The 10,773-nt window shown below is 48.3% G+C and overlaps 1 annotated feature.

The window, feature by feature from the left end:
* Positions 9,837 to 10,338: an enhancer, noted in NCBI's record as "H3K4me1 hESC enhancer chr15:70636737-70637238 (GRCh37/hg19 assembly coordinates)". NCBI's record gives its function as "activates a minimal SCP1, AML or CMV promoter by ChIP-STARR-seq in primed H9 embryonic stem cells {active_cell/tissue: H9 hESC(primed)}" and the evidence as "EXISTENCE:reporter gene assay evidence [ECO:0000049][PMID:30033119]".

The following is a 10,773-nucleotide window of genomic DNA, read 5'->3' as shown; positions in this document are numbered from 1 at the left end:
GGGGCTGAGAGCAGACAGGGGAAGCTGGGGTCCCTGAGGCGCTGGGCAGTGGTTACCCAACCCCTCCTCTGTATGAGGCGCTCCGGGCGTCTGTGCCCAGCCTTGATGAATAGCGCTCATTTAGGTGGTATGGGGAGTGCCTCTGCACAGACCTATCGGGTTTTTATTAACTGTTTTACTGTCGTACTTTCAAAATCAATCAAACAGTGCTGCCCTCCGGAGACACACCGGGGTTGGAGGGCTGAAGCTCCCAGTCTAAATGCAGCAGAGGCCGGGCCCAGGCCCACAGCGGGGCCGCAGGGGCAGGGGGGCCGGTGCTTCCTCCTGCCCGGTGAACGGCGGGCTTTGTCCTCTCTCTCTGAACCAAAGCCTCAGACTGGTCTGAACCGCGCACCCCAGACCAGAACTAACTGCACACATTTGTTGATCCTTGAACCGAACCCAAACCTGAATTTTTCTTGTGAACCACTTAACAAACCAATATTCAAAACAAAACAGGGAGGGGGAAAAGACCCTTGGCAGACCAGTTTGAATTGGAAGGGCATCTAAATTTCCAAGCCCATTAAACACAAACAAAGCTGGGTCATCAAAAGCCTTCAAACCTGACTTCAGTCAATATTTCGATTGGCTGGGCTCCCTGGCATGACACAGCTAAGCCCCAGGTGTGGAGAACTGGCTTTCCAAGCTCCAGGAAAAACAAGGGTCTCTGTACTGAATTAAACCATCCCAGGGAAGCCCCATCCTGCAGTTCCACCCCCACACCCTTGTGAAGGAACAAACGAAGAACGTGGGAGTCCCGTCTGCCCTGGCTTGTCCCCTGAATGTCTCCTCGACACAAAGTGCAAAGCCAAAGCTCTGGCCCACAGCTAAGTAGTGGGGGGTCCAGGCCTCTGTGATCTGGCAAAGGTGCCAGGACAGTGCAGTCGGCCCCTGCAGCTACCCTGACGCGCACCAAGGTCCCCCAGCAGTGGAAGAGAGGAAAGGCCTCTCCAAAGAGTGGGGTGTTCATTGTATTTGCAGGGTGGCAGGGGTGCCAGCCTTGCCAAAGGACCCATGTGCAAGAAGAGAAAGTTGTGAGAACGGCGAGTGGGCGAGATGCACAGGGCAGAAGCTGTAACTTCTGGGGCTTCGTGCCCAGCCCGGGGCTGCCTAGCTCAGGTGTTTACCGTTCGCTGATCTTTGAGTGTCACCAAAATGCACCCTCATGGCTTGGAAGCTGCATCCTCTTGAGCCCTGCTGCTTGCATTCATCCTTGTTATAGGGTGGCGTCCCTCCCTCTCTCTTTCCCTCCCTCCTTCCTCCGTCTTTCCTACTCCCTGTCTTCCCTCCTTACTCCTTCTTTGAATTCCTTCCACATGCCCCTGCCCAGCTCCAGGAAAAGCCCTGCCCAAATGTGGAATGGCCACTGTCTTTCTTATGAATTAAGAAGTGCTGCTGGGGAATATTATTCAGCCCTGAAAAGAAATGAAGTACTAATACCTCCTACGATGTGGATGAACCTCGAAAATATTACATGGAGTGAAAGAAGCCAGACACAAAGATCACATTGTATGACTCCATCTAAATGAGATGTCCGCAATAGGCAAATCCACAGAGACAGAAAGCAGACTAGTGGTTGCAGGGGCTCGGGGAGGGCTCGGGGTTGCAGGGGCTCAGGGGGAATGGGGAAAGACCGTGTAATGAGTATGGAGTTTCCTTTGGGTGCAATGAAAATGTTCCGGAACTAGATAGAGGTGATGGTTGCACAACCCCATGAAGGCGCTCAATGCCACTGGACTGTACACTTTAAAATGGTTGATTTTATGTCCCGTGAATTTTACTTCAAGTACAGAAACAAACACAAGGAAGTACTGTGGACTCCCTTCCTCTCCTCTTGCATGTAATCAAGGCGCCTCCAGTGCCATGTTCCAGGAGCTCTTGAGCTTAGGAGAAAGTGTGCAGGGTCTCTGGAAGACTCAATACAGTACATATAAGTTTTGGGGGAGTGTCTTCCCTGCCCTCATGGACAATGCATCAGCCTGGAAGCCTTAGCCAGCCTGACTCTGAAGGAAAGTGTGAAGGGCAAAGGTATTGGAGAGTTAGGGGAAGGAGAAAAGGGGAAAGGTGAACCAAAGAGAGGAGAAAGGTGTGTGTGACAAGCATCTCTGCCCTGCAGGCCCTGGGCTGGGCATTTCATGTCCAGCAGCTCATTCCACTGCAGCCTTGCAGATGAGGAGGCCAGCTGAGCACTGGTTGTCCAAGGTTACTGACCAGGAATAGGTGGGCTGGCTCTGGAGTCTGTGCTTTCAAGCCTTGGCTCTACATACTAGGATCCTCGTGGATGGGCCTTTGGAAATGATGCTGTCTTGGGCCTGGTTAGCCCTGTGGGGGCTGCTTCCTCCCCTGTTCCTGGCCCCTGGCTCCAGTCTGTTCCCTATGTGCCCTTTAGACCCTGATGATGAGTTCCCCGGGCTGCTCTTGCCCACTGCACCCTAGAAAGCCAGCTCTCCCCTGTCTGTTCTCCAGGATTCAACATGTGGAGGAGGAGTCCAGGGTGGGGATGTTTAAGACAGCTGCCTCCTGCCTGTGCTGATTGTGTTCATCCAGCAGGTGATCCTGGTGCCTGAGCCCTGGCCTGGATGTCAGGAGAGTGAGGCAATTGCATCTAGTCATTCTTTTAACAAAGATGGATTGGATGCCTGCAATGTGCCAGGCACTGTGCTAGGTGTTAGGGATGCAGCAGGGAGCTCACGGCCTCCCACCTTCTAGTGGGGGAGGCAAATAATGGAGGCCCAAATAGATCATGCAAACCCCTCAGGTCAGGATAAGCACTGGGAAGAGAAATAAAGCAAGGGAGGGGGAAGAGAATGACAGTCAAGGGAGGGAGAGGAGAACTTTCAATGGTTCAGGGAAAGCCTTTCTGAGGAGGTGACATTTGTGCAGAGACCTGAATTAAACCCAGGGGAAGAGTGTTCCAGGCAGAAGAAACAGTAGGTGTGTGGTCTCTGAGTAGCCAATGAACTCAGTGGGTTCAAGGAACAGCCAGGAGGCCTGTGTGGCTGGAGGGCAGTGAGCAGGAGCTCGGACAGGCCAGAGTCACGTGTGGACCGAGGAGGAAAGCGGGTGTGTGGTTTGATTCTCACCCAATGAGGGGTCCTTCAGGGGGCTGAGTGGAGGAATGGCATTGGCCAGCTAATGGTTGACGAGGACAGGAGCTGCAGCTGTGAGGAGAGTCCCTTTCAGTGGCAAGAGGAGAAGCAGGGAGGCAGTGTTCTTTCCCAGACATTGCTTTAGCCCTTTGGGTTTGCAGCCTCTGAGGCTGGCCTGCTGGAGTAGAAGCCCTGCCCTGCCACTTACTTGCTGTGTGACCTTGAGCAAATTGCTTAACCTTTCTGTGTCTCTGTTTCCCCATCTAGAAACTTGAAAAAATAATCATACCTCTCTCGTAAGGTTGTTGTGAGGATGGGGTGGGAGAACAGTGGTAGGACATAGTGAGTACTCCATGCGTGTTAGCCATTATCACTACCTTATACTATCATTAGCAACTTAACATGGTCTCCCGGTGGGAGGACGAAGAGCTAGCAAGTGGCTGCCTCTCCTTCTGCTCCTCTCTGGGCCTCAGGGTCCTTATCTGCTAAGAAAGGATTCATGGCCAGGCACAGTGGCTCAGGCCTGTAATCCTAGCACTTCGGGAGGCCGAGGCGGGCAGATCATTTGAGGTCAGGAGTTTGAGACCAGCCTGACCAACATGGTGAGACTCTGTCTCTACTAAAAATACAAAAAAAAAAAAGTAGCTGGGTGTGGTGGTCCATGTCTGTAGTCCCAGCTACTCAGGAGGCTGCGACAGGAGAATTGCTTGAACCTGGGAGGTGGAGGTTGCAGTGAGCCAAGATCATCACTACACTCCAGCCTGGGCCACAGAGTGAGACTCTGTCTGAAAAAAAAAAAAAGAGGATTCATTAGCAGATCTTTAAAGACCTCTCCAACTCTCTAACATCTGAATAATTAGAACCAATACCCCTCGTACACAAAAACAAAAGCAAAACATTAAGCACCCCCAATGTGCCAATCTGCCAGGAGAGACCACATAGAATTGCATTCAATCTTTCCAGTAACTCAATGGGAGAATCTTGTCCATTTCATAAAGACCAGTGTTTCCATCTTTCTCTTTCTTTAGTCTGTATTATTTTTTCACCTGTTAGATAATACATTGGTGGAAGAATTTCCATTTTATTTTTATTTTATAAATTTTTAAATTTAAATGTAAAATTTAATTTTCCTGGATGTGTGTTCCATGTGCCTTTGGAAGCAAAGTTTCCTGAGGTGCTCACCATAATCTTTCCAATGGGGTTAGGATTTAGAAACACAGAGAATGGAAATAAAACCTAGTTCCTACCCCAAGACTAAGGCAAAACAAGTGTAAAGTTTTCTCTCCTTGGTCCAAGATCAATGGGAATTAATATGGAGTTTTTCAGAGGTCAGTCTTCTGGGGACCTCCTGGTGACCACTCAGCCCAATTTAGTGGTCGGCTGGACAAACACGGTTGTCACAAAGCCCGTGTCCATTTCACAAAGCCATGGAGTCACATGGCAAGTTGGGTATAAAAGAAGGCAGGAGATACAGAGCAGGAACATAGTTATAGCAGAGCTGAGAAGGAAGCAAAAAGAAGTGTGCACATACCTTGCTTAGACTTCCGGCTAGACACTGTGTTAGGTGTTTTTTTTTTTTAGTTTGTTTGTTTGTTGAGACAGAGTCTCGCTTTGTTGCCCAGGCTGGAGTGCAGTGGCGCAATCTTGGCTCACTGCAACCTCTGCCTCCCGGGTTCAAGTGATTCTCCTGCCTCAGCCTCCCGAGCAGCTGGGACTACAGGCGCCCGCCACTACGCCTGGCTAATTTTTAGTAGAGACGGGGTTTCACTGTGTTAGCCAGGATGGTCTCAATTTCCTGACCTCACGATCCGCCTGCCTCGCCTCCCGAAGTGCTGGGATTACAGGTGTGAGCCACCACGCCCGGCCAGGTGTTTTCACATGTACAAGCCAATGGATGAGAAAAGGCAGGATAGTAAACAGAAGACAGACCCAAATGTAGGCTGGTCATAAATCAGCTACTGGTTTCATAGCTCATTTAACAAACCTAGCCAAAATAGGTTGATGGATGGTTCCATTTCCACCTAGAGGGGGTCACTGGTAGCCTGCCTTCAAGGTCTGTGCTTGGCCCTGAACTCATCAGCACACTTGGATCAGCAGCCTGGTAGATGCAGACACAGAGGGCAGGTTGATCACAAAGCTGGGAGAGAGAGTGATCATTCAAGTGTTTCAGAGTGTCAGGCTGGGCGAGACCTTAGAGATCACCCCTTCCCACTCTACAAAGACACAGAACTTGTTCAAAGTCACACAGTCAGTTTGTGGCAGACCAGCCTAAGGGCAAATTTCTCCACCTCCCTGTGCTGTGCTGGCCAATTTAGGATTCACATGATCCTGGCAGGCCTGGGCCGGCGGCTGATTCTAGCAGGATACAGCCTACCAGGGATGAGTGAGTGTGCGCTTTGCATTTCAGGTTCAGAAAAATCGATTGCCTAAGTACAGGATGTGGGAGGCTGGCTTGCAGCCGGTCTTGTGCAAAAGACCGGGGGGAGTCTGTTGGCCACGAGATCAATAGAAGCCAGAGTGTGATGCAGCCGCTAAACAGGGAAGTCTCTCCTCTTCCACGGACTGGGCAGAGCCAACGCGTCCAGAGCCGGAAGAGTGACAGCCTTATTTTTGTCTGTGCTCATCGGCCACTTTCCAAGATTTTTATTTATTTCTAGGTGTCATAGATTAAAAAGCACATCAAGGTTTGAAGACTGTAGAGAGGAGAACGGCTGAGCTGTCAAGGGGTCTGGGGGAGCCTGTCAGAGACCTTATTAAGGTAGCAGAAGACCCTTAACTGGAAAAGAGGAGAAGGATAATGGCCTTCAGTTTATGAGGTGGTTGTCATGGAATAAAGGCAGAGGCTCGTCTAGGGGGCCCCAGAGGACAGAACTGGGACGCAAAGCAGTGTGGGGTGGATTACCAACTGTTTCCCATGGAATGCCAAGAAGACAGCGGGTACCCAAGAAAGGGTCCACAGTCAACCAAGAGTAGGAAATGTATATATGCTATTCTCTATCCCCTCTTGCAGATTCAAGGTGCATATTAGCACATACATATATGCTAATGTGTATAATATGTATATTATATACATATGTATTAGTAGGTACATTACAAGGGATGAAATCTAAAGGTGCAAAAGAGCTTGTCTGTGCTCAAGCCCCCTAAAAAACAGAGCTTAGATGCTATGACTTGATTAGAAGTGCAGTCCTAGGGAGAGGGTTAGGGAGTGGCCACAGAGGAGGAAGAGCCGACATGAGAATTTGACACTGAGCTGGCTGCCGCTAAGTGCAACTGATTGCTGGATCCCAAGGGACTGTTCCCTGAGAAGCCATATTAAACTGTGTTTCAGGGTTGCTATAGCAAAGGACAAGTGAGAAGAAATTTCCATCAGGTCCAGTCTCCAATTGGCTGAAGATTGGCTCCATGGAAGATAATTTTCCCTTGTGTCTGAGTTGGGCAATCGTGGGCACTAGGGGTGGTCCTGAAGTGGTAAGGTCCACAGAGATGCCCTGAAGGGGAAGCAAGAGGAAGTGCAAGAGCAGGATGGCACTTCTGTGAAGTGGGCTGATGCTCACACAGTGCTGTCACTGCTTGAGGCTGGAAGAAGAGACAGGTAAGGTGGAAAGGACGGGCTAGGTCTGCTATGAGTTGTGATTTACATGCAGCAGAAAGTAAGTCTCCTTCCCTCTCCTGTCCCACCACCCAGGTCCCCGCATCAGAGGAACACATTGTTTTCTTGGGAAGCCTTCAAGAGACAGTCATGCATGGGTGAGCCTATACGCATATAAATATATGACATAGGTAATTATATATGCACATATTTTCATAGAATGGGAGCATACTATACTGCATAGCACTTTTTTACATAACAATGTATCTTGGCACTCTTTCCTTATCAGTACACATAGAGCCGTCTCATGCATTTGAATGACCATATAGCACTTCATCCAGCTGATGTACCATAATTTATTTAAATGTCCTATAATGCACATTTAGGATGCTTCTAATCTCTTGCTATTGCAATCATCATGGCGGTAAATACTCTTGTACACAAGTCATTTTGCAATCCTAGGAGGTTATCTCTAAGGCAGAAAACCTAGAAATGGAATGTTGGGTCAAAGGGAATATGCATTCTCAGTTTTGATCAATGTTGCCAAATTGCCTTCCAGGGTAGTTGTGCCAGATTCCCTCCCACCAGCAATTTAGGCGCAAGCCTGTTTCCCTCTGTCCTTACCAGCACAATGCATTATCACACTTTTGTTCTTTGCCAATGTAAAAGGTAGAAAATTATATTTCACTGTGATTTTAATTTTCATGTGTTAAGTCATAGTGAGAATGAGCCTTTTTTCTTCCAGTATTTACATTTTTTTACATTTACATATAATGCCATTTACATTTTATTTTCTGTGAACTGTCTATAACTTTTGCTCATTCTTCTTTATCTATCTTCTATCTATCTTCCTATCAAGAGATTATATATTTGCTTAAACAAAATATTATTGTATATGTTTAAGGCTTTATATAAATGGTATTGAACTATATATATAGTTCTATAACTGATATTATTTTATTCAACATTTTTCGAAGTCCTCAGCATTGTTTTTGAAATGTGTCCATGTTACAATAGCTACAGTTTGTTAATTTTCAATGCTGTAACATATTTTATTGTATGAATATGCCACAATTTACCCTTTCTCCTGTTGATGGCTTTGTGGGTCACCTTCAAATTTTTGTTATTACAATGTGGCTAGGAACATTCTAGTACATATCTCCTAGTGCACATGGGCAAAAACTTCTAAAGCAGAGTATATATAGCCAGGGCTGGAATTGCTGGGTCATAGGTTGTATGCATCTTCAGGGAACAAGATAATACACTTTTGCCCATTTAAAAAATATAGGCTGGGCACAGTGGCTCACACCTGTAATCCCAGCACTTTGGGAAGCTGAGGTGGGTGGATCACTTGAGGTCAGGAGTTCGAGACCAACCCGGCCAACATGGTGAAACCCCGTCTCTACTAAAAATATAAAAATTAGCTGGGTGTGGTGGCAGTCACCTGTAATCCCAGCTACTCAGGAGGCTAAGCACAAGAATCGCTTGAACCTGGGAGGTGGAGGGTGCAGTGAGCCAAGATCATGCCACTGCACTCCAGCCTGGGCGACAGAGCAAGACTTAGTCTCAAAAAAAAAAAAAAAAAATAGATTGCTGGTCTTGTTATTGATTGTAGGGTCTCTTCATGTATGGAAGCATTTGCACTTTGTGATATGGGCATATTAGTGTTTAGATGCTCAGAAAAGCCCTGCAGCAAAGAAATCTTTTTTTTTTTTTTTTTTTTTTGAGACAGAGTCTCACTCTGTTGCCCGGGCTGGAGTGCAATGGCGTGATCTCCGCTCGCTGCAACCTCCTCCTCCTGGTTTCAAGCAATTCCCTGCCTCAGCCTCCTGAGTAGCTGGGACTACAGGCGCCCGCCACCCTGCCCGGCTAATTTTTGTATTTTTAATAGAGATGGGGTTTCACCATGTTGGCCAGGCTGGTCTTGAACTCCTGACCCTGTGGTCCACCTGCCTCAGCCTCCCGAAGTGCTGGGATTATAGGCATGAGCCACCACGCCTGGCAAAGAAACCTTTTTAACTGGGTGTTTCCTTAACTCAACTGACCATGAACCCCTTTCCTCATTGAGTATCTGATAGGACTAACTCGGGGAATTGCTTTTGTAAGGGAACACGCATCAGGACCTGGTCAAGCAAGATGCTGGCATCTGGGCAACCATCAACAGTAGTACACAGACCCCTCTGCCCTGCTCAAAGGACCTTAAAGGTCTCAGAGGCTGACCCTGGCTGGAAGGCTTTCTGGTCTGCCCTCCATCCTACAATTTAGGGGACCCATCCTCATGGTGCATCCACCGTGTCAGGCTTTGTGCTGGATGCTTCCTGTCACTTACCTCTGCTTCCATAACCAAGTGAGAAACAAGGCTCAGAGCAGTGAGCTTCCTTAAGGGAAGACAAACCATCATCTGATCCAAAGCCATCCTCCCTCCATTACACTACAGGACTTGCTTAGAACCAAAACAGTGCCCAAGACCCAGCCCCTGAGAAAGCCAGATACTGGCTTCATCCCTTCCCCACCTTGCCACAACACCTCGGGCCCTGGTCTGTCCCTCTCCTCTGGCTCGTGGCCTGGCTGCATGGCGGGGCTGGCTATTTTGACATGCATGCCCTGGCTCTCCCATCTCATGATGGCAAGGCTGTGAGGTTCCTTGCACTTGGCACAGATCTTGGCATATGATCAATGTCTTTTGGAATGACCAGATCAGTGATGATAATGCCAGTGAGCATGTATCCGGTGCTCACCATAGGCAGGCTCTGTGCTAAGGGCTTTATGAGAATTATCCCTTATATTTGTTCACAGCGACCCTCTGCAGGTTCTGGTACCATCATCTCCATTTCACGGATGAAAAAACAGGCTGAGGGGAGTTTGGTCACTTGTCCAAGGTCACACAGACATTGAGTGGTGGAGGCAGGATTTGAACTTGAGTTACAGGGCCTCTACCTGCCTCATGCCACACACCTGACCCAGATGGGTGAGCTAGGTGGCCTCTGTCTAGCAATGCCACATGCGCAGTAGTACCCAGGAATTCCCCCATGTGACAATGACATAAACCCAGGAGTCTATTCAGCACTGCTGCGAGGCCTCAGGGAGCAGGCCGCCATGGGTGGGGAGAACCCCAGGCCTGGTCCTCTGCCCCTTCCTTGCTCCCTTCCTGCCAGCTGGGGTCACAGGTCCAGCCCAAGGCCACTTGAGGTTCAGGTGACAAAACATCCCAGTTTGCAGGAGTTGGCAGTTGCTCTGGGCAAGCTGCAAGCAAACAGCTGTGACTCCAGTCCCCAAAGCTCCCCCTCCTTACCTGTGTCAACACTTTTATTTTTAAAGTGGCAGAGCCAAGGTGGGGGCTGGGGATGGGCAATGGGGAAGGAGGGAGCCTGTCCCTTATCAGCGCTGGGGTCCTTGCATATGTAACGCTGTCATATAATTAACAGTGAAGATCATTTACATTGTCGCTTAGCTAATTTTCATAATGTTTTCTTTATTATCAGAGGAAGAAATTAACCCAAGAATTTATTTACATAGCAGCCTCAAACAGTAACAGCTTGCTAATTGCCTGTTAGGTGATTAATAAGCTTACAGCAGATGCTAATGCGTCGTGGGCTCCCCGTTTCAAAGGTGCTCTTGCCTCACGCTTGTGTTTTGGCAGCTTAATTAGTGCAATAATTATGTACTTGTTGCTCCTTCTTTCGAGCAAATACTGTCAAATGCTTAAAAGATTAAAGTGAATTATATCCTGAGAACGCACAGAGCTTGAGGATGCCCGTTCTTGCTAACTTCTCTGCTAGTTCACAAATAGAAAAGAATAAATAAGAGAAGGGTCTGCCACGACGGCGGCAGCAGAAATGAACTAGAGCTGGCTGGGGCCTAGTCCTGGAAGAGACCGCGAACACTGCCTCATTTCCCATCTATAAAAGGAGGTTCAACTGGTTGGCATGGGAAAGTGGGGAGAGGAAACTTGAGAATCAGAGAGACCTGAGTGTCAGAGCAACGAAACGCAATGGGTGGATCTAATTTGCGTCCTGATTGGATGCAATTGTAAAAAGCCATCTTGGAGATGAT

This window comes from Homo sapiens, chromosome 15 (assembly GCF_000001405.40).
Source record: "Homo sapiens chromosome 15, GRCh38.p14 Primary Assembly".
Lineage (NCBI taxonomy): Eukaryota > Metazoa > Chordata > Mammalia > Primates > Hominidae > Homo > Homo sapiens.
Note: the sequence above shows the minus strand (reverse complement) of the source record. Positions and strands in the feature narration are given on the sequence as shown.